The following is a 27,323-nucleotide window of genomic DNA, read 5'->3' as shown; positions in this document are numbered from 1 at the left end:
CTCTCCAGTAAAGCCTGAGGAGCCGGCGTCTGGAGTGCAGTGCGAATGGTCACACTTGTGACCGCCCCTCTGCAGCCTCGCGCTGCTTAGTCCCCACCGCCCGGGCTGGGCAAGGAGGGCAGAAGGGCTCAGGGAAGGACGAGCGGAGGGTGTGCAAATTCCGACTTTGCAGGCCGAAGGCCACCCGGGAACTGTCAGGAGCGGTCCGGGGAGGTTCGCCATTCCTTCGGTGTCTTCCGTCCGGTCCCTACGGCTGGGCTCCGAAGCCAGGTTTCGAGGGCCGGGGGCGGGAGGCGCTGTCCGGCCCACGACGGTGCTGAAGCGCCACCTCCGCCCGGCACGAGCGCCTCCTCGAGGCTGGGGTCCCCGCACTGGTGCCGTCCGCTAGGTGGTGCCATTGCCCGGCCGGCGGCTGCGGGTGGGCGACGCCGGCCGCAGACGGGGGGTACTGCAAGTGGGGTCCCGCGTCTTGGTTGCCAACCCCCTTCACATTACGTCTTCTCTCCCACCAGTCAGACCCGGGGTGTCTAGCCCTTGGGTCTAAGTCCAGAGCCCCAGGTCACCTCTGCCCCCGCGCCCCCCGCCCCTCCGTTTCACCTGGGCGCATGCGCTGATCCGGTCAGCGCCCCCGGTCCGGGCGGGCACGAGTTGGGGCGGGATCTGGCGCGGATGGGGGCGGAGCCGCCGGTGCTGACTGACAGCCTGACTGCGCGGCCGGGACGGTCCCTCCGTTCCCGATCCGGCGGGAGGGAGGGGGGAGGGGCGGGATTTCCTGCGGGAGGCGCCGAGCCGGCCTTGGAAAAGGAGAAGGAGAAAGGGGGGCAGGGGGGAGTGGGAGCCACCGTCCTGAGTGCCAGGGACCGAGCAGGGCCAGCCGGACCCCGGCGGGCGGCCGGGAGAGGTGAGGCTGCGGGGCCCGCGCTGGGGGTCAGCGCCCCTGGGGGCGGGCGCAAACTAACTTTTCTTGCGGGGTCGGCGGGCACCTCCATCTCCCCGCTCCTTCCGTCCTCCTCGCGCCCCTTTTTCCATCCTCCGCGTTTATACCTCGGGCGCTTGGCCCGCCCGGCTTCTCCCGCCGCTTTGTTCCCCGGTGGGCCTGGGCTGGGCTGGGCTGGGCTGGGGGGTTGCGAGGCGCTGGAGGGACATTCCGGGGGGCGGGGGAGCCAGCCCGACCCCAGGCACTGCCAAGGGCGCCCTCCGCCCGTGTCGGCCGCGGGCTCCGCGTGGGAGTGCCCCTGGGTTGGGCTTGGGACGTTTGGGGAGTGAGGGGTTCCCGGCCAGGGCCCCAGGCCTGCGCGGATCTCATGCCACAAGACTCTGGCAGTAAATTCGCTGCCACCGAGAAACTGACGTAAGCTTCTCTGCGGTGGAGTCCAGGGTCTGGGCTTCAGGTTCAGGCTTGGGGGGCTTGGGAGCCCCGTTTGTCAGCAGTGCCCCAGCTCTCTCTGTTCTCTGCCCAGCTGCTCCTCCACCCGACACAAGGGGCGAGGGCGGGTCAGCAACAGGTGCTGTGCAGCTTCCCTCTCTAGCAGGCAGAGCCCCCAGAAATGGGGGGCCAGAAGCACTTCATGCTCTCCGTTCACAAAGAGTCCTAGGACTAGGGCATCCAGCCATTAAAGCGAAGCCTTGAAGCCTCCGTAGGGAGGAATCTGGGGGCTGGTGCCTTTGACAGGGAGTGACCCCTGCCCGCCTGCCTGTGCCTGACCCTCCCGGCCCCACCTCCTGGCCCGCCAGTTGTCTGTGGGTGTCGGAGCCTCGGGCTGTGGAGAACAGGCTGCTGGCCCGGCCTGCCCCAGTATGTCATGCTGCCAGGGCCCCTCCTGCCCAAGGTTGAGGTACTGCCAGGTGCCCTGGGGCCCCAGTGACTCAGCCTCCCCCTCCCAGAATGCCACCTCCCCCCCACCAATACTCCTCTCATGCATAGCAGCTTCCTCCCCACTTTCAGTGGCTCAGCATCACCATCGACTCCGAGGGGAGCCAGGGTGGCTTGGGGGCTCCCTGGAGGTCTTGTCCTGCTCATCCTCTGCACTCCACTTCTGGGACCCTTGCAGGCTGTGGCCCAGCATTCGACAGAGGCCCCGTGCTTTTTCCAGAGCCCTGAGACCAGTGCACCGCTGCTGCCTGAGGCCCAAGGGAATGCTGGCTGCTCTCTGGGTGGGCACTGGTGTTCCACAGCCAAGCCGGGAAGATTGGTGTGCCCAGTCCCAGCCCATCCTGGAGCTGTCGGAAGCCACAAGCTGATATCCATCCAGATTTCCATGTAGCCTTCACCCCCTCAAAGATTAGCTTTCCTTCGTGTGGTGGCAGTTCACGGAGCACCTTTGGGAGTATCCCTCAGTACCTGACGAGGAGCCCACTGCCTGGGACACCTGACTTGCTCCCCCGGAACCGGGAGCCCTCCAAGGGGCTGTGGCATGGCGCCCTGACGCCCCAGCTTGGACCCGTTGCCTGCCTTTGCCCTGGACTCCTGAGTGTAGAGCTCAGCCCAGGAGCCAGTATGGGTCGTGAACAGGACCTGATCCTCGCCGTCAAGAATGGAGATGTGACCGGTGTGCAGAAACTGGTGGCGAAGGTCAAGGCCACAAAGACAAGTGAGTACCGGGTGGGACGAGCATCCCGCTGAGGCCGAGCGCTCAGTTCACAGAGGCTTGGTGGGTGGGGGTGGGTCACTGTGATCTGCATATTTGAGGAGGGTGGACTGTCTTGTTCTCAGTAAGAAGTGCCTCTGTGTGAGAGAGCCAGAGAGAAAGTTGGGTCCCCCTTGCTGTGTGTCCTTAGGCAAGTCACTTAACCTCTCTGGGCTGCAGTTTCCTGGCCTGCAAAATTAGAGGGTTGAAGTACGTTCATTCACATTGTTATTGAGTGCCTATAGCTTGTCACCCAGGCTGGAGTACAGTGGCAGGATCTCGGCTCACGGGAACCTCCGCCTTCTGGGTTCAAGCCATTCTCCTGCCTCAGCCTCCCTAGTAGCTGGGATTACAGGTGTGTGCCACCATGCCCGGCTAATTTTTTTTTATATTTTTGGTAGAGATGGGGGTTTCACCATGTTGACCAGACTGGTCTCGAACTCCAGACCTCAAGTGATCCACCCACCTAGGTAGGCCTCCTAGTACTAGGATTACAGGCGTGAGTCACTGTGCCTGGCTCAGGCTCTGTTCTAAGCACTGGATCATAGTAGTGAACAAAACAGACCCAAATTCCTGTCTTCGTGGAGTTGCCTTCTAGCAGATGGTCTTTCTGATGTGTTCTTTGGAGCCATGAGATTTCTGACAGTGGGTTAGAGAAGACTGAATAGATAGAACTTCATCCCTACCCCCAACCTCAAACGCACACATTTCAACCAGAGCACCTCTATGTTCGTGTCTTAAGAGGATATCTATAAGATAGCTGTTTTTTTTTTTTGAGACGGAGTCTTGCTTTCTCACCCGGCCTGGAGTGCAGTGGCATGATCTCAGCGCACTGCAGCCTCTGCCTCCCGGGTTCAAGCTATTCTTCTGCCTCAGCCTCCCGAGTAGCTGGGATTACAGGTGCCTGACACAACGCCTGGCTAATTTTTACTAGAGACGGGGTTTCACCATCTAGGTCAGGCTGGTCTCGAACTCCTGACCTCAGGTGATCCACCCGCTTCAGCCTCCCAAAGTGCTAGGATTGCAGGCATGAGCCACCGCACCAGGCCACGAGATAGCTTTTAAAAAGGGAATTCTACTGCTTAAAAAAAGTTCAACACTCTCTAACAAGTTGCTAAAGTTTCTCTTCCCCTGACATGTGTGTCCTGGTGGGGTGTGGCCAGAGCTCATTTACTGGAGATTTTCACCTAGCCTCGAGACCTGACCGGGCTGTGGGGGATCCATGCACAAGCGGCCACACCTGAGCCCCATGTCTTGGGTACCTCTGTGGTGCGACCCCCCACAGGGAGAATAGACCTCTGGGCTTCAGGGAGGGCTCTCTGGGCTGTCCCAGGAGGCCGCTGGACTTGTCACCTTGAGATCCCAGATCAGCATAGGCAGGAGGTGGTTCCTGCCACCAGACTGAGGCAGGAGGAGTTCCCTGGATGGGAAGGTCTCCTCTGGAGTTCAGGGGCTCTAGCCCCAAGATACACCTCGGTCCTGTGCACAGGAAGGAGTCCCCCAGGCTACCTGAACACCTGGGGTATGGGTGCCAGAGGAAGGGCCTTAACCTCATGCATCCACTAGCACACTGGGGCAGGAGACGCAGGGCCTGGAGAGGTGGAGCTGTGGGGTGGTCTCTGTGCCTAGGGAAGTGGACACAGGGTGGGTGCCACTGGGGAGGTGCTAAGGAGGTCCCAGGGGAGGGCCCTAAGGTCCAGCAGTGCAGCCACTCCCCTCTTCTGTCACCTCTGTGTTGTTTTTGGCAACCTGCCCAGTGGGGCCTTGGTCAAGCTGCTGCTGGCCTCACCGCTCTGGGTCCTCAAAGTGAGGCCCTCAGGAGGGCAGGCGGGAGGGGTTTGGAGGCCAGTGGCGGGAACTGCAGAGCTGGGCTCTTAGGCTCCGAGAAGTTCCCTTGTGCCCAGTGGGAAGCGTCTGTGGGGAAGGAGGTCCCTTCCCTCAGTCCCAAAGTGGAGAATTCACCCTGCGCAGGCTGTAGGCTCAGGCACAGCATGACTGGGGCCTGGGATTCCTTATGAGGCCCTGGCACTGTGCCTCCCCTCCCAGTCCTCTGAGAAGCTGGAGAGGCTGGTGACAAAAGTGAGATCACAAGGTGACATTTGCAAACCTTATAGTGTATGAAATATTATAATTTCCTCACTTGCCTGTGAGATAGGTATTTCAATATCCGTTCTGTAGATAAGGAAAGTGATGCTCAGAGAGGGTTAGTGACTTGCCTAAAGTCACACAGCCATAGCATGGCAGAGCAGAGGCAAAGCTGCACCCTGTCCCCTGTGCTCTGCACTCAGCTGCCCATCAGTATTACCTAGGGATTGTTCTGTTCTTTTCTTTTTAAAGAGATAGGGTCTCACTTTGGGAGGCCGAGGTGGGCAGATCACTTGACGTCAGGAGTTCGAGACCAGCCTGGGCAACGTGGTGAAGCCCCGTCTCTACTAAAAATACAAAAATTAGCTCAGTGTGGTGGCAAGTGCCTGTAGTCCCAGCTACTCAGGAGGATGAGGCAGGAGGATCGCTTGAACCTGGGAGGCAGAGGTTGCAGTGAGCTGAGATTGTACCACTGCACTCCAGCCTGGGCAACAGAGCAAGAGTCTGTCTCAAAAAAAAAAAAAAAAAAAGGACAGGGAAAGAGATGGGGTCTCGCTATGTTGCCCAGCCTTGAACTCCTGGGCTCTAGTGATCCTCCTGCCTCATCTTCCCACCTCAGCCTCCTGAGTGGCTGGTACTACAGGCAATGCCACCATGCTGGCCTAGGGATTGTTTCAAAAGTGCAGACTGGGCCAGCCATGATGGCACACACCTATAGTCCTGTTGGCCCTGTGCACAGGAAGGAGTCCCCCAGGACTCCTAGTTAGCCTAGGAGTTTGAGACTGGCCTGGGCAACATAGTAAGATGCCATCTCTACAAAAAAATTAAGAAATGATCTGGGCATGGTGGCACATGCCTGTAGTCCCGCCTATTCAGGAGGCTGAGGTGGGAGGATCGCTTGAGTCGGGGAGGTCAAGGCTGCAGTGAGCCGAGATCGTGCCACTACACTCCAACCTGGGCAGCAGAGCAAGACCCTGTCTCAAAAAGTAATAAATAAGTAAAAATAAAAGTGTAGACTCCTTGGACTCCCCTCAAAATCAGACTCATCACAGAGGGCCTGGGACTCTGTGTATCAGAAAGTTCTCCCCATGATTTTACTGCAGTTCTCAGAAGTGAGGCTGGGGACTCTTGCTCCATATCGTAAGAAGGCAAGGGAAACTGCTAAAAGGGAGGCGTCAGGACTCCCCTTTTTTCTTCTGGGGTTTAGCTGGCGCTTTATAGCTATCCAGAGAGAGAACAGGGAGGTGGGAGATGCTCCCTCAGCCTCCTGCATTTGATATCAGGCCAATTCCCTGCCCCCACCCGGGTCCTCTTCAGGGAGCAGGTGGCTGAGAGAAGAGGGGTACAGTTGCCCTGGCCCTGCTCCCCGCCCCTCGCCGCACCACTCCCTTTTCTGAACAATCTCCTTCTTTGGCCAGAGGAAATGGGGTGTGCTGGGGCGGCCGGCTGAGCTCACATCCTCTGCCCGGGAGCCTAAATCAGGAGCCACCCTTCCACCCCCAGCGCCAGGCCCGGGAAGAAGGTTGTACCGCAGGGGAAGTGCCTGGAGTCACTGCCAGGAACCTGGACCCTCTGCCCTCCTGCCAGGGTCCCCAGCCCGGTCACTCTGAGCCTCTTCCCCACCGCCTTTCCGGCTATTGTTCTGAAAAGAACGGAGCCACCCAGCCTGGCCCTTGCCCTGTTCCTGTCCTGCCTGTCACATTGTCCTGCTCCTCTCGGGAGGGACTGCATCCCGCCACCCAGCTGCCTCATCCCAAACTGTCCAGGCTGTTGGAAGAGGAGGGCTAATGGAAGAGTGGGCAGCTTGAAGGGTGCTCTGTGTCTCTTCCCTGCTGACCGCATTGTCTCCACTGGGGCTCAGAGAGGTACCGTGGCAGGCCAGGGTCACACAGCCAGAGTGAGCATTTGAACTGTGCACTTCCGCTTCTAGAGCCCCTCTTCTTTCTACTGCCTCAAATGGTTCTGTATGACAAGGACTTTCCAAGGGGACTGGAGGAAAATGGAGGTCTGTGTTTCTTCCCAGTGGCCACAACCCCTTTAGCGCTTTGTCCCTCCCTGGCTCTGTCTTTACCTTTGTGGCACAGTGTCCTTCAGTTTGGCCCTCAATGTAGCTGTCCCCTCCCTCCCTGTGCCATGTTCCCTACTGCCAGGTTGGTCCCTCCCCTCCCTGTTGGAATGAAGCCCTGTCTTCCCCAGGCTACTGGGGTATTCAGGGGTCCACCAGAGCCTGGGGGGCAGGCCTGGGCCAGCACACTTGGCACTCTGCCCAGCCTGGCCAAGCCAGGCCCACTCCTTCCCTGCAGGGTGGGTTCTAGCAGGAGGCAGGGGCCACCCATGACAGGCCTTCCTTCCCTCCCCAGCACTTCAAGAGCCACTCCCACCAGTTCCCTGGCTCTCGCAGGGAGCACACCTGCCTGAACCCTGCCCCGAGAGGGGGTGGCCCCAGCTCCTCTTGCCACCAACCTGCAGAGTCCTTGTCCAGGGCATGGACATCTCAGCCAAGACCCTGGAGGTGTGGAGTCAGCAGTAGCAGTGACTCCCCGGGCAGTCTGAGCACCCATGGAGATCCCAGTGGGGACAGTATGGGCCCTGTGCCAGCTCTTGTTGGAGGACCATCGCCCTAACATCGGGATGGTATTTGCCCACATGTCAGGAGGGCTAGATGTTGAGAGCTCCTGTCTTTGCATATGACAAGGTCAGGCACTGTACTCACAGCCCCCGTGAGCAGGTTCTGATCAGCTCATTTTACAGTTGAGGACACTGAGCATGGGAGGTTAAATGACTTGTCACAGTCACACAGCTGGTGCCTGGCAGAGCCAGTGTTGGGTAGAGGTCTGTCTAATGTCACCTTCCTCTGGGATGCCCCAGGACTGGGCATCGTGGCCTGCCCTTGAATACCTAGTGCCTCTTTCCTTCTCTCTCCCCACCCCTCGGCCCAGTAGGACAACATGACTCGCTGCCTGGCCCATTCAGGCAGGAATGCTAACCATGCACACCGTGGGCCTGTCCACTGAGGGCACATCGTGCCAGTCCCACCCCCCGCCCTCTTTGGCTCTATAAACAAGCGGGACTGGGGCGAGGGGAAGCCAGCCCACTGCCGCAGCAGCATCCTGCCCTCACTGCCCTCATGCTGCTGGGCCGGTGGGCCAGGGTGGGGAGCCACAGGGACGGGACAGGCGGAAGGCCATGGGGCAGGTGCTTTCCTGCACGCCAAGAGGTCAGCCGGGCTGTGACAGGTGGGGGGAGGGATGCTGAGTGAGGGCAGTCATCTGATGGCCCTGACACCTCCTATCCTGACCCCTAGAGCTCCTGGGCTCCACAAAGAGGCTCAACGTGAACTACCAGGATGCTGATGGGTGAGTGGGAGCCCCTGTCCCTCTGCAGAGCTGCTGGGTGGGGGCAGTAGAGCCCCAGGGGTGGGGCTGGAGGGAAAGATCCTGAGGCCCAGGGTCCCTTTCCCTCTCAGACTTGGCCCTGGAAGTGTATTTGCTGCGAGCTGTGGGCCCTGTCCCTGGGCTGGAGGGAGGGGGCACCCGCCCGCCCGTGGAGTTAGCCCTGAGTGAGGGGAGGGGCCCTGGTGCCTCTCCGCAGGGCCTCCTGGGGTCAGATTCCTTTGGGGCCCCCTTTTCTCCCTGGAGGGTAGGAGCCCTCAGGCTCCTGCTCCCACGGCCCCCTCCCCTGGGCCAGCTGGGAGGCGGGGGGGCGAGACAAACGGGCCTCTCAGTGCAGACACTGAGCCCTTTCATGCTGTGGCTCAGCCACTGCGCTCCCACGGCAGGGCTGCTGGGGTTGGGGGGGCCAGTAACCCATCCCTGCCAGCCCCCAGGATAGGTTCGGGTATGGAAGACCAGGATTTGGGGGTGGGGGCTGCCCACCAACACCCCTAACTTTGTGTCCTCCCACATCAGATTCTCTGCCCTCCACCACGCTGCTTTGGGGGGCAGCCTGGAGCTCATAGCCTTGCTGCTAGAGGCTCAGGCCACTGTTGACATCAAGGACAGCAATGGTGAGACCCCCATGTGCCCCCGACCCCCACCCTGGGCAGGTAGGGGCCCTACCCAGACCCTGGGACCAGAGCTTGCTCCTATGACAACGTAGCAATGCTAATAGATGCTAGCACAGCGTCTCTGGGCTTGCAAGTGGCTTTTCCCCGTTTACTCTTCACAGCCTTCTTGCATAGGCGAGTGGTACTAACATCCCATTATTCAGATGAGTAGGTTGAGGCTCAGCGAGGTGTTGTTGCTGTCCTGGGGTCATCATGATCCACAGTGGGCACAGCAGGACTCTGGCTTCAGCCCTGTCGAGCCGAACCTCTTCCTAAGCACACCTGGATAGAGCCAGCATTGCATCCCCGTGGGCTCTCTGCCCTCCCAGCTGGGCTGGCTCCGTACTCTGCTCAGTTCCTCTCCACCCCCAACGCCGTCCCAGGACCTCCCTCAGAAACCCTTTCCTCCTGCCAGGCATGCGCCCGCTGCACTACGCAGCCTGGCAGGGCCGGCTGGAGCCTGTGAGGCTGCTGCTGCGCGCCTCTGCGGCTGTCAATGCCGCCTCGCTGGACGGACAGATCCCCCTGCACCTGGCTGCACAGTATGGACATTATGAGGTGGTACGTGAGGCTGCCCACAGGGGCGTGGCGCAGGGCAGGGTGGGGTGCCGGACAGGCCAGGCCCCCTCACTCGGCTCCCCCAACCCCAGTCAGAAATGCTCCTCCAGCATCAGTCCAACCCATGCCTGGTCAACAAGGCCAAGAAGACGCCCCTGGACCTGGCCTGTGAATTTGGCCGACTCAAGGTGAGGCCTGCAGCCTTGGGGTGCTGGGTCCTGGACATCTACAGGGTCTCAGGAGGAGGCTCTAACTGGGCACTGGGTGCTGCAGGTGGCCCAGCTGCTTCTGAACAGCCACTTATGTGTGGCACTGCTGGAGGGTGAGGCCAAAGACCCGTGTGACCCCAACTACACCACGCCCCTGCACTTGGCTGCCAAGAATGGCCACAGAGAAGTCATCAGGTACCCTTGGGGTCCCCTCGCTTCCTCATCACCTGCCTGCGGGACCATCGGTGCCCCTCAGTGCTCTCCCCCACTGCCCTTTTCACCCGGGCTCTCCATCTCCCAGGCCCCCAGCAGTCAGCACCCCCTCCTACGCCACCTCCCCCGTGACTCCCCCCGTCCACTGCAGGCAGCTCCTGAGAGCTGGGATCGAGATCAACCGCCAGACCAAGACGGGTACGGCGCTCCACGAGGCCGCACTGTATGGCAAGACCGAGGTGGTGCGGCTGCTTCTGGAGGTGGGTATGGGCCCCTGCTCCCTCGCAGGTGTCCATGGAGCCTCTGCCCTGTGCCCCTGACTGGCTGGGGAGGTACGGGACGGAGGACTCCAGCGTGGTTTTTGCATGGGCGTCAGGAAAGAGGCCTGACTTCCTTCTGAATGGTGCCGAGGCGGTGCAGATGGATCGGGGGCAGACCAACCTGATTGGCACCCCAGATCTGCCTCTTACTAGCTGAGTGAACTTGAGCTTGTCCTTGACTGAGTCCCTGAGCCTCTATGTCCTCATCTGTAAAATCGGAAAATGGTAATAGTACCTATGTCCCGGGTAGCTGAGAGAATCGGGTGAGGGGTGTCAAAGTGCTTAGCGTGTGCTCATGTGACACTGTGCACCCAGGGAGGTGTGGACGTGAACATCCGGAATACGTATAACCAGACGGCGCTGGACATAGTGAATCAGTTCACCACCTCCCAGGCCAGCCGGGAAATCAAGCAGCTACTGCGGGGTGAGTGCGGGGGAGGATACCCTGCCCAGGGGGCCTGGGGCCGCTCAAGTGGTACCAGGATGTGGAGGGGGAGTGGACGTCCCTGGGGGAGGGTTGTCAAGGGCATGAGGGGTGGGAAGATGCCCTAAGGACCCTTAGATGACACCTGTCCCCCACCCCGTTTTCTTAGAGGCCTCAGGGATCCTGAAGGTCCGAGCGCTCAAGGATTTCTGGAACCTCCACGATCCCACTGCTCTCAATGTCCGGGCAGGGGATGTCATCACGGTGAGGGACCCCAAGCAGGCATTCCTTTGCAAATACAAATGATTGCTGTTACTTATTTGGGCACCTGCTATGTTACCACGTTCTGCTCTGAGGTCTCTATATGCACCCTCATTTAATTCTTCTTAAAGCCAGGGAAGGCAGTGCTGTTAGCATTTCTTCTTTACAGATGACAAAATTGAGAATTAAACAAAATAAAATCAAGAGAAATTCAAGTGACTTGCCCAAGGTCACACAGCTAGCAAGTAGTGGAGCTGTGATTTGACCACGGGCTGCCACTGGGGCTCGCCCTGGAGGCACAGGGGAGATTGAGCTGGCTGCTGGCAGCAGGGGCGGAACTTGGGCCAGTGTGGGCATCAGAGGCCAGCTCCTTAGGGGTAGGGAAAGAGCTGGACCAGGGTTGCCGGACCGCAGCTGCAGGGACAACCGTTTGCCACTTGCCTGGTGCTGGGAGTGACCGTCCCCGCCCCCCACCCCTGGCCGCAGGTGCTAGAACAGCATCCCGACGGCCGCTGGAAGGGCCACATCCACGAGAGCCAGAGGGGCACAGACCGCATAGGCTACTTCCCCCCGGGCATTGTCGAGGTGGTCAGCAAGCGGGTGGGCATCCCTGCAGCCCGCCTCCCCTCCGCACCCACCCCCCTGCGCCCAGGCTTCTCCCGGACACCGCAGCCTCCTGCCGAAGAACCCCCGCACCCTCTTACCTACAGCCAGCTTCCTCGGGTGGGCCTCAGCCCAGACAGCCCAGGTACATCCTCCCAGGGGGCAGTGCTGGGCACTGTGTGGGCGTGTGGCCTGGGCAAGCTGCCAGACAGCTGTCAGAGCGACACTTGGGACTCTGACCCCTTGGCTTCTGCCCCCCACAGCAGGTGACAGGAATAGTGTGGGCAGTGAGGGCAGCGTGGGCAGCATCCGCAGTGCCGGCAGCGGGCAGAGCTCTGAGGGCACTAATGGCCATGGCCCTGGCCTCCTGATTGAGAACGCCCAGGTAGGATGATGGGGTCACGGACCAGGTCAGGGCTCACTCCCCACTGCCAGTTCCCCAAATGCTGAGTTGGCTCCTGCCCTGTCTCCTCCAGCCACTGCCCTCTGCTGGAGAGGACCAGGTGCTGCCAGGACTCCACCCGCCGTCCCTGGCAGGTAGGAAGGGTCAGGGGACCTGGGTTGGCTAGGAGAGGTGCAAGTAAGGAGGCCGAGGGTGGGCACCCCTTCCTCCTGCCACCTTTCCATTCCATTTTTCTCTCTCCTTGAAGACAACCTGAGCCACCGCCCTCTGGCCAACTGCCGCTCTGGGGAGCAGATCTTCACCCAGGACGTGCGGCCAGAACAGCTGCTGGAGGGGAAGGTGTGACCTCCACGGGGTGCACCGTGGGCCTCGGGGGGGAAGGTGTGACCTCCACGGGGTGCACCGTGGGCCTCGGGGGGGAAGGTGTGACCTCCACGGGGTGCACTGTGGGCCTCGGGGTGGGTAGGGCAGGGTAGAGGCAAGAGCCTCTGTATGGACTGAAGCCCCGCTCAGGCAGGTCCTGAGCCCCTGGTGGGGGCTAGGGCCTTGGTCCAGCTCCTGCTAATTCTGCCCCCTTCCCCCACCCCGCAGGACGCGCAGGCCATTCATAACTGGCTAAGCGAGTTCCAGCTGGAGGGCTACACTGCCCACTTTCTGCAGGCCGGCTATGATGTGCCTACCATCAGCCGCATGACACCTGAGGTGGGTGCTGCAGCCGGGAAGCAGCACCCAGCGGGCGGGGGAGGGCCCAGCAGGCGGGGGAGGGGCCTGATGGCCAGACTTTGTGTGGCAGGACCTGACGGCCATCGGGGTGACCAAGCCTGGGCACAGGAAGAAGATCGCCTCAGAGATCGCTCAGCTCAGCATCGCCGAGTGGCTGCCCAGCTACATCCCAGTGAGCCATCAAGGGTGGCTGGGGAGTGGGGCACGTGCTGTCACCCTCAGCTGTGGCTTTGCGGTGCCTTTTCTCCTCTGGCTGGGGGCGGAGGCTGGCTGGGAGTTGTTCTGAGGACGGTGCTCTTCCAGACGGACCTGCTGGAGTGGCTGTGTGCACTGGGGCTGCCACAGTACCACAAGCAGCTGGTGAGCAGCGGCTACGACTCCATGGGGCTGGTGGCCGACCTCACCTGGGAGGAGCTGCAGGAGATTGGGGTCAACAAGCTCGGTAAGGACTGTCCTGAGGCCTGGCTGGGCCCCCACCTGCCTCCGGGGTCTCCAAGAGAAGACAGTATGGGGCCCAGCGGTGACCAGGACAACCCCAGCCCCAGCTAACCTTGCCACTTCCGTCCCCCATCTCAGGGCATCAGAAGAAGCTCATGCTGGGGGTGAAGCGGCTGGCGGAGCTTCGGCGGGGCCTGCTGCAGGGGGAGGCCCTCAGCGAAGGCGGGCGCCGGCTGGCCAAGGGTCCGGAGCTGATGGCCATCGAGGGACTGGAGAACGGAGAAGGCCCAGCTACAGCTGGCCCACGGCTCCTCACCTTCCAGGGCAGCGAACTAAGCCCAGAGCTACAGGCGGCCATGGCAGGGGGTGGCCCTGAACCACTCCCCCTCCCACCTGCCCGCTCTCCCAGCCAGGAGAGCATCGGGGCACGCTCACGGGGGTCTGGCCACTCACAGGAACAGCCTGCCCCACAGCCCAGCGGTGGAGATCCCAGCCCCCCCCAGGAGAGGAACCTCCCAGAGGGCACAGAGCGGCCCCCTAAGCTTTGTTCTTCACTTCCTGGCCAAGGACCCCCACCCTATGTTTTTATGTACCCCCAGGGCTCACCCTCTAGCCCGGCCCCAGGGCCACCTCCTGGCGCACCCTGGGCCTTCTCCTACTTGGCCGGGCCCCCTGCCACTCCCCCAGACCCGCCTCGACCTAAGCGCCGGTCCCACAGCCTAAGCCGCCCTGGCCCCACAGAGGGGGATGCTGAGGGGGAGGCCGAAGGGCCAGTGGGCAGCACCCTAGGCAGTTATGCTACCCTTACCCGGCGGCCAGGACGCAGTGCCCTTGTCCGGACCAGTCCTAGTGTGACCCCAACCCCAGCTCGGGGGACTCCTCGCAGCCAGTCCTTTGCCCTGCGGGCCCGGCGCAAAGGCCCCCCGCCCCCGCCCCCCAAGCGCCTCAGCTCCGTCTCTGGCCCCAGCCCGGAGCCACCTCCACTAGATGAGAGCCCAGGGCCCAAGGAAGGGGCCACAGGGCCCCGAAGGCGAACACTGAGTGAACCTGCTGGCCCCTCAGAGCCCCCTGGCCCACCTGCCCCGGCTGGGCCCGCGTCAGACACGGAGGAGGAGGAGCCAGGCCCTGAGGGGACGCCCCCATCTCGGGGCAGCTCTGGGGAAGGGCTGCCGTTTGCAGAGGAAGGGAACCTGACCATCAAACAGCGCCCGAAGCCCGCTGGCCCCCCGCCCCGAGAGACACCCGTGCCCCCCGGCCTCGATTTCAACCTCACGGAATCAGACACTGTTAAGCGGAGGCCCAAGTGCCGGGAGAGAGAGCCACTGCAGACCGCACTGCTGGCCTTCGGAGTGGCCAGTGCCACGCCTGGCCCCGCTGCCCCACTGCCTTCCCCAACTCCTGGCGAGTCTCCTCCAGCTTCTAGCCTTCCCCAGCCCGAGCCCAGCAGCCTTCCAGCCCAAGGAGTTCCAACCCCCCTTGCTCCCAGCCCCGCCATGCAGCCTCCAGTGCCGCCCTGCCCAGGGCCAGGTCTGGAAAGCTCAGCAGCTAGTCGGTGGAATGGGGAGACAGAACCCCCGGCCGCCCCTGCTGCCCTCCTCAAGGTGCCCGGAGCAGGTAAGAGGGGAGGCCTGTGGGAGAGTCACTGCTGGCAGGGTTGTGTCTGACCCAGCCAAGTCCCAAGCCAACCTTTTTGTCTCTGCAGGAACAGCCCCCAAGCCTGTGTCGGTGGCCTGCACCCAGCTGGCATTTTCTGGCCCTAAGCTAGCGCCCCGGCTCGGCCCCCGCCCAGTGCCTCCTCCACGGCCTGAGAGCACTGGGACTGTGGGCCCAGGCCAGGCCCAGCAGAGACTGGAGCAGACCAGCTCGTCCCTGGCAGCTGCACTGAGAGCCGCAGAGAAGAGCATTGGCACCAAGGAGCAAGAGGGGTGAGGGGGGCCGGATGGGGAGGGAGAGAAGGCTGCAGAGAAACAGTGCTCCCTGCATCCTCTGCCCAGGGATCATGGGGATGTTGGAGGGGGACATTGCAGGCACTAACGGGATAAGAGGCCAGGTGTTGAAATCACCTAGATCAGGGAATCCTGGTGGCTACCATTTAAGAGGCACAGGAGCCTGGCCGGTCCCTTGCCTCCCTGAGCCTCTGGGAGCTATGACAGCTCCCTGCCCCAGGGCCAGTGGGGTGCAGGCCACTGGCTGATCTGACCGCATCCTTCCCCTTGCTGCAGCACCCCCAGCGCCTCCACCAAGCACATTCTGGATGACATCAGCACCATGTTCGACGCCCTGGCTGACCAGCTGGACGCCATGCTGGACTGAGCCCTCCAGCAGTGCCCACTGTGACCTGCCGAAGTCCACTGCCTTTGCCCCAGCACAGAAGAGGCCCCTGCCACCCTAGGGACGGGCCAAGGGCTGGTCAGGCTGAAGTGCCCCTCCTAGCAGGGCCCCTTCCCACTCAGCCCGCGGCTGTGGGCACCACAGCTCTTGTGGGGCAGCCCACCTTAGAACCTGACTAGCGAGGGACCTCCGCTGCATCTCAGCAAAGCCCCTCCCAGGGTTTGATCGATTGAGCAGGACAGCCCTGCTCCTGGACAGGGACCCTGGTAAGAGCTCTCTCCTCAGGGAGGAAGTAGGGGTGGGGCTTTGGGGGTGCTTTCTCTGTACCCCCCAGCCCATGTCCCAAGTTGTGCCAAGGGAATGCCTCTTGCCACCCACCATCCTGCCCAGGCCCTGAGAGGCTGGAGGAGGCGTGTGTCTGGCCGGGCCCCCTCTCCGTAGGTGTACAGAGGACATGTAAATACACAGCGGTGGTGCCCAGGCAGCTCCTGCCCCCGCCTTCCCTCACTGAGGCAGGGCTAGCAGGGGTGGGAGGCAGTGGGGTTAACAGATCCCACAAGTCCTAACTTTTCAATTGTAAATGTTATTTTCTAAGCAGAGAGAAATGCATATATTTTAAATGGAATTTATTCTATCAACTGCCTGAGAGGACACAATGGGGGAGGGGCTTCGGACCACAGCAGGAGCCCCGACTGCCCACCTGAGGGCAGGGAGAGCCTGACCCCATTGGCCCAGGCCCTGGCTCTGTAACCATTAACCTCTTCCCCCAACTAACACCAATGAAAACACCATTCCACGTGACTGGGCTGTGTGTTTGCCTCTGTGACATGGGGACCCCTGACCCTAGGGGTCTCGCCTGAGCCAGACCTGAGGGACCCACCCGCGTAGATGGAGGAAGGTTTAGGCCTCCCTTTGCCAGCCACCGCCGGGGGTGGGCAGACCCTGGAGTGGCCTTACAGACCAGCCACAGGTATTTCTTAGCAATTGACACATTTTAATACAAACCAGTCTACATTCATTCCTAAAAGGCTCATTTCCAGTAAAAAATATACACCAGTAGAAACTTCTCCCAGAACTGGGGCAGAGGCTGAGGAGACCTGGGCCAGATTCCCCAAGACTGACAGGCAGCCAGCTTGAGCCAGGCACAGGAAGAGGCTCCAGGGCGAAGCGGGGGCCCTGCTCCATCTTCAGGTTCAGGCGGGAGACTCCCCCACAGAGGGAGGGAGGGGAGGCACTCGGGGCCACATCCAGGCAAGCACCACCCCCCTGCCCTCCACGGCAGCCTTGGGAGTTGGACGCGTCGGCCAAGGCTGCTGCTGTTGCTCCTCCAAAGAAGGTTGGCTTCAAGGCCGTGTCCAGGGACCCACGAGCAGAGGCACTGGGGGGCAAGGGATCTCCAAGGGGGCAAGGGATCCCTAAAGGGGGTAGCTCACAGGTGAGGGGGTTTAGGGCCCCTCTAGGGAGCGCCTGAGGCCATACATTCAAGAGTGTCCCTGGTGAGGCCCAGGGAAGAGCCAGGACTGGCCAAGGGCCCAGGCCGTCAGCTCCTCCACAGTGAGCCCCAGGGCTCAGGAAGACAGCGGGGTCTGACACGGGGAGCTGGGTTTCCAGTGCCACGGGTGCAGGAGCAAACCTGGAAACATTCATGATACAAACTCCCCTGTTCAGAAATGGGTCTGGCTTTAGCCCCAGGGACGGGGGCAACTACAGCCACCACAGCCAGTGGCTCAGAAGGGAGAGTTCATGCCCAGCTTAGTTTCAAACTGCAGCTTCTGTCGCTTCTGGTAGCGGACTCGGACCCTGGTGGGGCAGGAGATTAAAGTACAGGTTGGCAAAGATCCTTAGACCAGGGGCCGGGGCAGGACACCAGAGGAGGAGGGAGGGATGGGCAGCGGAAAGGTGGGGGAGTGTCGCCAAGGGAGTAACAGGTTTAGGGAACATGCCTGAGCCCAGAGGGAGGCGCCCTGCTGACAGCTCACCGAATCTCATGTAGCTTCACGATCTCATTGGTCACCACCACAAGGACCAGGGACAGGCAGCCCAGGAGCCATGTCAGCAGGGGCACGTCCTCCAGGCCAAAGTGGACGTGGCTGTCCCTGTGTGTCCACAGCTGCAGGTCCACAGCCGTCTGGACCACCTGACCCAGCAGCCTGCAGGAGGTGGCGGCCCCGTGTGAACCCGACACTGCTTGCTTCCTTCCCTGCTCTTCCCAGTACAACAGTTAGCTCAGGCAGGGTACAGTTAAACCACTGGCCCCGGTCCCGCCCTCCGATCCTAGCCCTGCAGAAGGCCCTCTCCTCCCCAGCCCACACTCCGCCCTCCATCCTAGCAATACTCACACCACAGGCACTGTCACGGCCCACCAGAGGTTGGTCAAGGGGCTCTTTCTCCACAGGGGCTTGGTGCGATGCACATGGGTGATGGAAATGAAGACTGGGGAAGGTGGGGCGATGTGGGGGTCAGACTTCCACAGTGGGGCTCCTCTCCCACCATCATCCACGCCCTCCCAGGGAGCCCTCTCACCAGTGTGCAGGACAATCAGGGCGGCCGTGAGCTTCTGAGCCGACAGCAGTCCATTGGCAAAGTCCTCAAACCAGGCTGGAGCCCTGTCGTCGTTGCTGCCAAAGTGAGGCATGGGCTCAGCCCCTCTAGGGCCGCAGGGAGGTAGGCTGGGGTGGGGAGGGAGGAAGCCTCGAGGCGAGGCAGGCGATGGGTGGATCTCTGGGGCTGGGACCCACCTGGGCAGCATGACGGAGGAGCAGTTGGTGAGGTTGCGGTCCCGGGAGCTGTCACAGAAGCTCTGCAGTGTGAAGCCAAAGCAGATGAGGCAGGAGCTGATGGTGAGGCTGAACTTGAGCAGGAAGCAGAGCAGGAAGTAGTGCTGGGTCTGCGGGAACAAGGCCAGTCACTCCTGGGGCGCACAGCCCCTCTGCCGGCTGCTCCTAGCTCTTCCACGTATTCAACGGGCTCTTAGTAAATGGTCAGGCCTGGGGGGATAGGGAGCTCAAGCCCCAGCAAGGGTCTTTCCCAGCTCTGTGCCACTACCTCCTCTTTGATCTGGGGGAAGACTAGGAACCAAGTGCCGGAGTTCTGCTGGAATCCCCCATCCAGAGCCTTCCAGATTAGCCCCTCTCTCCTCCCCCAATCCTCAGTCCCTTCCATGCTCACTTGCAAGGCTCACAGGGTCTGTTTTGCTTACCTTCTTGGGAATGGACTGGAGGTTTTTCCCCGTTGCCATAGACATGATGGAGCTATGGGGGGGCTTCCCCAGCAGAGAGATGCTGAAAAGCAGAGATCAGGTAGAGGGATGGTGACAATGACCCTCTGTCCCTCAATTCTCATAGAGGGAACCTCTAGGGAGTCTTGCGCGTGAGGTCGAGTCTGGTGAGGGGATGGAATAAAACAAAGGCTGGACGGCAGTGGCTCACACCTGTAATCCCAGCACTTTGGGAGGCTGAGATGGGCAGATCATTTGAGGTCAGGAGTTCAAAACCAGCCTCGCCAACATGGCAAAAACCCATCTCTACTAAAAATACAAAAATTAGCCAGGCATGATAGTGGGTGCCTGTAATCCCAGCTACTCAGGGGGCTGAGGCAGGAGAATCACTTGAGCCCGGGAGGCGGAGGTTGCAATGAGCAGAGATTGCACCATTGCACTCCAGCCTGGGTGACAGAGCGAGACTCCATCTCAAAAAAAAAAAAAAAAAAAAAAAAAAAGACAAAGGGGGTTCCCTCCATGCCTCCTGTACCAGAGGAGGTGAGACCTGAGCAGTTCCAGAACCTTGGGCTCCTGGGGCTGCACAGTGACATCCAGACACCTCCTGCTTAGGCATGGGGTGTGGGGAAGATACATGGCATCTCACCTGAGCAGAGGGTAGCAAAAGCAGGACAGCCACAGGATGTCGGTGGTACTCAGGAGTGGCGGCAGCTGGACCAGGCAAGAAAGGAACTAGACCAGGAAAGAAGCCAAGAGCCACAGTTCAATTCAGGCAAATAATAAGGGCATAGGAGCCCCCGAGCTCCCTTGCCCTGGGCCCAGATAGATGCTCACATCCTGCCAGAGGGAACAGGGGCCGGAGGGAATACTCTTCTGCCAATGAGGGTCAGCTCAAAAAGCCCAGGGGCTTCACAGAGGCTCTGGGGGGACCCCTTGACTGTACTGCTAACCCCAGCCTCCTTCCTCAGATTTTCAGCTGGCCCCTGAGTGAAGGGGTGAGTGGCACGGGGGCAATGCCTGTGCGGGCCCCACCTCACCTGGATGACCACAAGAGTCAGCTGGCACTGCAGCAGGAAGAGGAAGCACTTACGGATGCCATAGGTGGCATGCCGAGCCTAGGGACCAAGAGGGACAGATTATGGCCTGGGTCTACCTGGCCTCTCCCAGGCCCAACAGCTGACACACTTTAGCCAAGAGCCAGACGCCCAGGATGCTTCTACGAGGGGAGCAGAGGCGAATGTAACTGCCTGGGAGAGCCCGCTCGGAGGGCTGGGGAATGAGGTCCCCGGGTTCAAACAGGTCCTTTGCTGCTACTCCCACCCCAGGCGGGTCCTGTCCTGCGTCTCTCCTCCTTTGCCTGCCGAAGCACCCACCTGTTCGATAAGCCGGATGATGCTGATGGTCTCCTCCTGGCGAAAGGTCAGGGAACAGGGCAGGCTGTTGAGCTGCCCTGACAGCTGCAGGGGAGAAAGGCCATCCGAGGCCTGGGCCATGCTGATGCTGGTGGCGTAGCCAAAGGTCTCCCAGGAGCAACGGGATGGGTACAGGGGATCCAGGGCAATGCTGCTCAGGGTGGGGGACACACACACTTCAGCTGTATCTCCCACAGGACTGGGCACCCCACCCTCTTCTCCCACCATGCCCAGGTGCATTGGTCCCAGCCAGGGCGAGGTCGGCTATAGTACACACCCCCAGCCCCACGCAGGCCCATCTGATCCTCCGGTCTGGGAGGTAGAGGCTGGCCCGCAGGCTCCAGGGTCCCGCCCTGACCTGATGTCGCTCTGGAGGAAGAGGCAGCTGTTCCGCAGGTTGGCAGAGCTGCCCAGGCAGCAGGTCACCTCCCCGTACTCTTGCATGATCTTTATCATCTCACACATGGCTGAGGACAGCGTATAAGGGCACCAGAGTCAGGCAGGCAGAGCACCAAGTGGGCACTGGGCAGAGACCCATGGGACAGGAGAGCAGGAGGCGATGGGAGGTGGGCCCCTCTTTGAAACAATCCCACCCCCGGCAGCGGGATCATGTGAACATCGGCACTTCTGACTCCAACCCACAAGATTCCCCAGCTGATCCCAGCCCAGGTTCCTTTACTCCCTGCATGGGAAACCTACATCCCTCCAGAGCCCACGGGGTACGCAGGCCCAGGCAGAGCTCAGCCGACGGGACCAGGTTGCCCAAGTACCCATGGCCACAGCACTCACTCTCTGGGGTGCAGTCGGTGAAAAGGGGCACTAGCAGGGGCACGTTGTCAATGTTCTGCAGGTGGGGCCGCACTTGGTGGATACCCCGGGGCAGCTTGGCCTGGAGAAAGCAGAGATGCCAGCGGCTTCGGGATGGGGATCAGCATCCCTCCCCTCCACCGCCTGCCCACCACCTCTCTACCTCTCCCCTGGACCAGCTATGGGACCACTACAGGAACACGTGAGACAGATCCTGCCATCGTACCCGGTTGGAGTCCTCCAGGAAGCTGGGGATGTCGCTGTCCGTAGGCTGGAAGCTGATGAGGTCCGAGTGGCCCTCCTCCTCCATGAGGAGGAGCCCTTCTGCATCATCTCGGGACACTGTGGGGACAAAAGCCTCTCCCTCACCTTGGGACCAGCCTTCTGGGAACCTGTCCTTGCCCTGCAGAGAATTTTTTGCCTGTGTCCACTCCTTCCTGCTGACTACTGTTTCCCGCAGGGACATCAGAGCCATTTCCCAAGGGAATGTACTTAACTGGAGGGCTCTCCGGAGGCTCTTCCTGGCTGTGGCTCTGAGGAGGGGAATCCTCCCACCGCCACCCCGTCCCCACCCCACGCCTTTGCCCTTACCCTGATTCAGGTCATCATGCAGGGAGCCTGCGTGGCTGGGGCTGGAGGGGGGGATCTCGGAGCCAGGCATGTCACCATTGGGTGTGAGGGAGATGTGGCAGTTCCAGCCTGTCTCCAGGCCCATTTTTTCTGCAAACACCTGTGAAAGGCAGACGGCCATGAACATACGGGCCCAAAAGCCCGTGGAAACAGAGTTAGTGGTGGCAGAAGGGATGGCTCTCCCCACCTTGCTTTTGAGCTCATCCTCCAAAGAGAAGTAGACAAAGCGGATGCAGGCGTTGACAAGCCCATCAATGAGGCGCACGATGTCCAGCCGGGCCTGGTACTGGGAGGACACCATGCCCATGAAGATCTGGCCGCTCAGGGCCTGCATGCAGTCTTCCTTCTCCAGCACCTCCCCGATCCCTTCTTCAGGCAGGACACACAGGACACAGCCCGATCAGGACACCCAGGAACCAGCCCAGGGCCACACACACAGATGCCACACCCAAATCAATGAGCATATGGGCCCCAGGGGACCACACACAGCCAAGACACACGAAGGAGCCGACAGACACAGGAGAAAAGACAGTGAAAGGTATGCATCAGTCAGGTAGCCGAATCTGAGCTGGAAGCTACAACAAGGCGTGGCTTCAGCTCCTGCCCAGGGGGTACTGGCCCTACCCTCAGCAACTGTTTCAATTCACAGTCTCTTGGGTTCAAAAAACCTGGGAAGTGTGCGTGTCTGGTGGGAATGGGGTGGCGTGGTGGAGCTTCTGGGCCCCTCTGCACCAGCAGGGTGACAGACCTGATCTCCTGTCTGATCCTACTAAGCCTAATGCTCTAGGAACGCTGCTTGGTAACTTCCCAGGAAAGCATTCTGATACACGTAACCCACTTGAGCATCACAACCAACCAGTGAGGCAGGCCAAGTGAGCACCCACTGATAAGGGAGGAAACTAAGGGACTCCCCATGTCCCCGGATAGAGTGCCACACTGGCGTCCCAGCCTGGGGCTGTGGCCACTGCCCCCTTTGCTGTGGGGGGTGCCGGGGCCCTCCAGACGCCCTCCCTGCTCCTGGGCTTCGGCAGCCCAGGGGAGCCCCAGCACCAGCCCCGCTGGACAGACCCATGAGGTACCGTCAGAGCTCCAGCTGCTGCGGCGGGCGTTCTGCTTGATGGGGATGGTGCTGGGCAGCTCGCACATGGTGAAGATGCTGCTTTGGCCGGGCACCTGTACCAGCTCGATGCACTTGCCATTGAGCTGAGAGGACAGGGCGCAGTTCATGGGCTTGTAGGCGAAGGCAGAGCAATACCCAGACAGGCAGGCTCGCTGGTAGAAGTCCAGCACTTTCTTTCTGCCAGGGAAGCAGGCGGAGGTGAGGTGAGTGTTCCTGCCTGTGAAGGGCAGGTGCCCCGGCAGCGCGACTGCTCTTGCTGCTGGCATGTGCTTCCTCACCCACCTGTCAGATCCCGAGAGAGGGTAGATGTCAGCTCCGTCCCAGAAGTCTGTGCAGGCCTCTAAGACCACATCAGCGGTGCCATGGGACAGCATCTGCTCTGTGCCTGGGGGAGAGAGTTCAAACCCTGAGTGTCGCTAACCAGCCCCCTCACGCTGACCTGACAGGCAACGCACTGTCCTCCTGGAGAAGGGCGCTGAGGAGCCCCTGCCAGAGGAGGAGACTCCCTGGGACTCACGGACAGCAAGGCTCTGCAATGCCACTGGGCTTGGAATGCAGACACCATATTCCCATCCTTTGGACAATCCCGGCCTCTGCAGCCAACACCATCCCAGCCCTGGTCCCCAATTCCAGCCCTGCCAGAGTGGAACACTTGGAAGCAGTCTACTTTTCATCTGCCCAGGCCTCCCTAGCAATGGGTGGGGCTGGGCAGAGCCCCCCTGCCAAGCTCTGGAAGGTCTCGCCTGGTGCTGGCCAACGTAGCCAGGGCTCACTGGTGGTGGTGTCTTTAATGAAGAGGCTGATCATGTGGCTGAGGGGAGGCCGCCGCTTGGTGACACAGGAGAGCCGCCCCAGCGATGTCTCCTTCATTGTCTCGGCACTGGGGAGGCGGTACAGCGCCAGATGGTTCTCCTGCTTGAAAAGCTCCTTGGCCCCAGGAGTGAAGCCTGCAGGGCGGGGAACAGGAACTTAGGGCCATGCCCTGGCAATACCCTGCCAGGTCCATTAAGTCCCGTGAGGAGTTGGTACTGGGCCTCTTCTAGGAGGCGGGTCCAGCCAGCCATCCCCTGCCATGGGGACCTGTACCAATGAGGCGGGCAAGCTCGCAGAGGCCCCAGGGCACATGGACGGGCAGCACGGCGCTGTGGCTCTCTTGCAGGGCGATGTTGCACAGGTGGTCGGAGAATCGGCACAGGCGCTCGGTGACGCTGGCATCACACAGGTTCAGCAGCACATTGAGGCCCAGGGGTTTGAGGGAGGTGAGGTGCAGCTGCCAGTTGGAGTCATCAAACTGGATGCAGGAGGGGTTCTGCTGGTCCTGGGACAGGCTCAGCATCTCCAGGTGGTAGTCACACACAAAGTCCTCTGCTTCGTAGGGGTCGCTCTCCATCCCAGGCTGGGTCTGGGGGAAATGTGGAGGAGAGCCTCAGCCCGGGATAGGGTGTGGGGAAGCCAGCACTGGCTCTGCCCACCTCCCAAGGCTGGGGAGGGCTCCTGCCCCTGAAAGGCACCCTTCCCAGGAGAGAGCTGCTGCTCACCCTCTTCCACCCGCTCCCTCCTGAAATCCGCTTCCTGTCCTTCTTGGGCTCCTGTCTGCTTCTATGGACTATTAATATATCTCATGACACTGGCAGGAGCTAAAAAGAGGGGTGGCCAGACCAAAGAGGACACAGTTGAGGGATCTTCTGTGGCCAGGGAACATCTCTAAGAGGGAGCTCCGGGCTGTGTATATTTGGAAGGTTCCAGTAGGGACACCAGTGATTGCGATTACAAGAATGGAAGGGTAGGGGGAGGCTCCACCTACTTCGCAGCAGACTTGGGGAGGGCCTCAGGGACCACTGGCCTAGCCTGGAGGTGCTGGGACAGAGGGCAGAGACGCCTGCTCTTTCAGACCTTGTGAGGCCAGGCTGGCCAGGGAGGCCAGGACAGCCTGTGGCCGAGGGTGTGGCTGCCCCGTGCCACCCCCTCCCGTCACCTTGCTGGGCTCTTCTTCACCACCCTCGGTGTCCCTGCTGAAGCTCACGTTGGAGCCAGATGGGTGTTTGCTGCGGCCATGCGCTTTGTGGTGTGAATAGGGCTCGGGGGGCTTGGGAGCCTCGCCAGGCCAGTCGCCACGCTCCTGCTCATTGGAAAGGTGCAGGGTGTTGTTCAGGGAGCCAGCCAGGAGGGCGTCTCGTTCATGGGGCTGAAGAGAATGAGGAGCACAGGCTAGGACCAGTGGCTCCCATGGCCTGGGGAGGCAGGATGCTTCTAGGTCCCCTGGCTGCCTTGTCTTCACCTCACCTGCCCAGAAGCAGATCCTAATGGTGCCCAAACCCTCCTTCGCCCTCCGAAACCTCACCCTCCCTGGCCAGGCTCCAAGGCTAAACAGCCTGGCCCAGAGTCGGGCCCATGGGAGCCGGCCGTACCTCCTCCTCTACCTCGGGATGGCAGAAGGAGCGGGTGGATAGGCCATCGGTGAGGTCCTCATGGCTGCTGTGAGGGGGCTCCACCTTCCCGCTGAAGAACAGTACAGTCTCTGGGCTGGGATTTGGCCATGACAGGATCCCCTGTTTGTCCACACAGCACAGGACCTGCATGGAAAGCATTTGAGATAGGAAAGGGGCCTGGCATTAGCCTATCCTGCCCAGGGGCCACTCAAGCGGCAGGTGGGCAGCCCAGGCCCAGCCAGAGAGCAGGGCGGGCATGACAGTTGCCTCCTCCCCGCAAGGCCCACCCTCACCGTGACAGAGCCCAGGCTGTGCAGCAGGCTGGAACTGTGGCTCAGCGTTGGCGATGTCCCCCCGAGCACCCTCAGGAAGTGGCCCCAAATGCAGCGCAGCATTTCCTGGTGGGAGAGAGGAAGTCTGCAAGGCCATTTAGGGCTCAGCCTCATTTCCCTGGAGACGGCCTCTAGGGGAAAATCCAGGGGAGCACCACGAAGTTGGGGTGGAGAGGCACTTCTCTGGGACAGGGTGTGGACACGTTATGGGAACAGGTCCAGGTTATGTCCACATGTAACGGGTGGACATGGGGCTCTAAGAGCCTGGTTGGAGGCTTTAAGGCCATAAATAGGGGAGTCCCAGGGTTATGGCTCTAGGGACCTGCGAGAGAAGCCATCCCGGGTCAGTGTTGTACCTGAGAGGAGACAGCCTCCGTATAGCTGCTGAGAGTATCCTCTGAGAACTTAGCCAGCTGCACGGAGAGAGGGTGAGGTCCTCAGTGAGGAAAACGCCGCCTTCACACAGGCCTCTCCAAGCTGGCAGAGGGGGGGCCCACACCAGCGGGGCTCCCAACCCCTTTGGTAAAGGGCCCAGGCCGTTCTGACTCCCCACCTGGTGGAAGCCAGGGCAGACGCTCACTCACACCCAGGGCCTGGCCTGGAGGCCCTTCTGGAATGGAGAGGGCCCGAGGCCTGGAGAGCTGCCCAGGCTGACCAACATGCCGAGCCCAAGGTGGGGCTGGACTTCTGCCCCCGTCCTCTGGCACAGCCAGCTCCCTCTTTTTGTTCCTGTGACTTCCCCCAGACACCTTGGAAAAACCTACCAGGGAGCTGGGTGAGGCCTTGCTCATCTGGGCCAGGACACGGGCCTCTCCACAGGCAGTTGCCAGAACCCAGAGGACTGGAAAGAGCAGGGGGAGGATGGGCAGGACGCCATTCACCTGGGAAGGAGCGGACCACACAGATGGCTCCTGAGCTCCGGGCCTGGGGAGGAGGGAAGGGAAGGGCTGCCCTGGCCCCACGGCCATTCCCTGGGCAGGAAGGGCCAGCTCTCTCAGGGGCAGGAAGGGAAAGAGGTGTTCTTTTTTTTTTTTTTTGAGACGGAGTCTTGCTCCGTCGCCAGGCTGGAGGGCAGTGGCGTGATCTCGGCTCACTGCAACCTCCACCTCCCAGGTTCAAGGGATTCTCCCACCTCAGCCACCTGAATGGCTGGGACCACAGGCACGTGCCACCACGCCCAGCTAATTTTTATATTCTTAGTAGAGACGGGGTTTCACCATATTGGCCAGGATGGTCTCGATCTCTTGACCTCATGATCTGCCTGCCGTGGCCTCCCAAAGTGCTTGGATTACAGGCCTGAGTCCCCACGCCCAGCTGGAAAGAGGTGTTCTTAAGCTGAAGCGTGAGGGGACCTCTGGGCTGCAGAGAGGGAGGGACAGCCAGGGTACTAGGAGAAGAGCCAGCCCTGCGGGTCGGAGGGAAGCATGACAGAGAGGACAGGGTGGTCCTTGCCTGGAGCTGGAGGAGGGTGTACTGCCAGGAAGTGACCCCCGGGGCACTGAAGATGAAGCGCAGGGCATTGGTGATGAGGAAGCCGGCCTGTTGGGAACAGCAGAGGCACAGCCTTGACCCCGCCCCTCTAGAGGGACCCAGGCACTGCCGTTCCCCTTCCTTTGCTACTCCACAGGCTGGCTCACTCTGGGACCCTCTGCATTCACTCCCGCTCATGTGAGTGGCCCTGAGACCCCCCCGTGTCCAGCCCTCTCCTCTGCCCCATGCAGCCCCGCACAGCCCCGCCACACGCACCAGGACCACGGGCACAGCATAGTGTAGCATCACCGACTGCACTGTGAACCGCTCATTGTCCAGGGCAGTGACTGGTCGGGACAGGGCCATGTCCAGGCACCATCTGCAGAAAGAAGTGACTGTCAGTCTCACTTGGCAGAGAGGCTAGAAACCTACACCTTGGGAGGATTCTGGGCCTCTCTGCCAGATACCGCTTCTTCAAGCACCGTGAGTCCTGCAGTTCCACGCTCTGCCCTGGCCCTAGCCCGTGTTCACCTCCAGAGCTGTCCCCTCAGAGTAGAGACTGGGAGAGGGCACCACTCAGTCTAAGAATTCTCACAAGATGTTAAGGACAGGAGCCTAAGGAGATGCCTGCCCTCAAGAGAACCTCGAGATGAACGGGGCCCCTTC

At 61.0% G+C, this 27,323-nt stretch overlaps 2 protein-coding genes and 1 non-coding gene across 54 annotated transcripts in view, besides 3 other annotated features; 1 reads left to right on the top strand and 2 right to left on the bottom strand.

Moving 5' to 3' along the window:
• Nucleotides 306-915: a silencer, noted in NCBI's record as "silent region_8969". NCBI's record gives its function as "represses an Ori minimal core promoter by ATAC-STARR-seq in GM12878 lymphoblastoid cells {active_cell/tissue: GM12878}" and the evidence as "EXISTENCE:reporter gene assay evidence [ECO:0000049][PMID:35858748]".
• CASKIN2 (CASK interacting protein 2) lies at nt 765-16,041 on the top strand. Of its 3 annotated transcripts, none has more exons than NM_020753.5 (20): nt 765-901; nt 2,094-2,591; nt 8,017-8,068; nt 8,621-8,718; nt 9,173-9,318; nt 9,408-9,503; nt 9,589-9,719; nt 9,889-9,997; nt 10,373-10,481; nt 10,651-10,745; nt 11,229-11,490; nt 11,609-11,730; nt 11,822-11,882; nt 11,996-12,087; nt 12,340-12,450; nt 12,542-12,643; nt 12,775-12,913; nt 13,048-14,523; nt 14,612-14,834; nt 15,132-16,041. In NM_020753.5, the coding sequence occupies exons 2-20, from the start codon at nt 2,498-2,500 to the stop codon at nt 15,220-15,222; spliced, it is 3,609 nt and encodes a 1,202-aa protein (NP_065804.2). In that variant the 5' UTR covers nt 765-901; nt 2,094-2,497; the 3' UTR covers nt 15,223-16,041. The 3 variants fall into 3 exon arrangements, with proteins under 3 accessions (NP_065804.2, XP_047292415.1, NP_001136115.1); XM_047436459.1 differs by having other exon boundaries at nt 2,052-2,591; NM_001142643.3 differs by lacking the exons at nt 765-901; nt 2,094-2,591 and adding an exon at nt 6,412-6,577.
• Nucleotides 1,089-1,655: an enhancer, noted in NCBI's record as "H3K27ac-H3K4me1 hESC enhancer chr17:73510728-73511294 (GRCh37/hg19 assembly coordinates)". NCBI's record gives its function as "activates a minimal SCP1, AML or CMV promoter by ChIP-STARR-seq in naive H9 embryonic stem cells {active_cell/tissue: H9 hESC(naive)}" and the evidence as "EXISTENCE:reporter gene assay evidence [ECO:0000049][PMID:30033119]".
• Nucleotides 11,603-11,742: an enhancer, noted in NCBI's record as "active region_12766". NCBI's record gives its function as "activates an Ori minimal core promoter by ATAC-STARR-seq in GM12878 lymphoblastoid cells {active_cell/tissue: GM12878}" and the evidence as "EXISTENCE:reporter gene assay evidence [ECO:0000049][PMID:35858748]".
• Nucleotides 15,850-27,323, bottom strand: part of TMEM94 (transmembrane protein 94) — a 43,818-nt gene continuing 32,344 nt past the window's right edge. For 3 of the 50 annotated variants that reach the window (XM_047437170.1, NM_001321149.2, NM_001438843.1), the window contains 25 exons: nt 26,934-27,036; nt 26,640-26,726; nt 25,952-26,068; nt 25,544-25,600; nt 25,149-25,253; nt 24,835-24,999; nt 24,402-24,611; nt 23,513-23,828; nt 23,200-23,373; nt 22,709-22,811; nt 22,386-22,603; nt 21,494-21,675; nt 21,268-21,406; nt 20,903-21,018; nt 20,659-20,758; nt 20,228-20,336; nt 19,831-20,020; nt 19,495-19,572; nt 19,104-19,189; nt 18,440-18,521; nt 17,979-18,127; nt 17,764-17,858; nt 17,580-17,673; nt 17,220-17,390; nt 15,850-17,040 (listed from right to left, as the gene is read on the bottom strand). In XM_047437170.1, the coding sequence (XP_047293126.1) occupies nt 16,968-17,040; nt 17,220-17,390; nt 17,580-17,673; nt 17,764-17,858; nt 17,979-18,127; nt 18,440-18,521; nt 19,104-19,189; nt 19,495-19,572; nt 19,831-20,020; nt 20,228-20,336; nt 20,659-20,758; nt 20,903-21,018; nt 21,268-21,406; nt 21,494-21,675; nt 22,386-22,603; nt 22,709-22,811; nt 23,200-23,373; nt 23,513-23,828; nt 24,402-24,611; nt 24,835-24,999; nt 25,149-25,253; nt 25,544-25,600; nt 25,952-26,068; nt 26,640-26,726; nt 26,934-27,036 (3,319 nt within the window). In that variant the 3' untranslated portion in view covers nt 15,850-16,967. Of the gene's footprint in view, nt 17,041-17,219; nt 17,391-17,579; nt 17,859-17,978; nt 18,128-18,439; nt 18,522-19,103; nt 19,190-19,494; nt 19,573-19,830; nt 20,021-20,227; nt 20,337-20,658; nt 20,759-20,902; nt 21,019-21,267; nt 21,407-21,493; nt 21,676-22,385; nt 22,604-22,708; nt 22,812-23,169; nt 23,374-23,512; nt 23,829-24,401; nt 24,612-24,834; nt 25,000-25,148; nt 25,254-25,543; nt 25,601-25,951; nt 26,069-26,639; nt 26,727-26,933; nt 27,037-27,323 lie in introns of all 50 variants that reach the window. The other 47 variants (NM_001438841.1, NM_014738.6, NM_001321148.2 and 44 more) reach the window with 30 other exon arrangements.
• Nucleotides 17,674-17,754, bottom strand: MIR6785 (microRNA 6785). Its single transcript, NR_106843.1, has one exon. It is a non-coding gene; the product is annotated as a microRNA 6785 (primary transcript).

The sequence above is a fragment of the Homo sapiens genome, chromosome 17, assembly GCF_000001405.40.
Source record: "Homo sapiens chromosome 17, GRCh38.p14 Primary Assembly".
Taxonomy (NCBI): Eukaryota; Metazoa; Chordata; class Mammalia; order Primates; family Hominidae; genus Homo; species Homo sapiens.
Note: the sequence above shows the minus strand (reverse complement) of the source record. Positions and strands in the feature narration are given on the sequence as shown.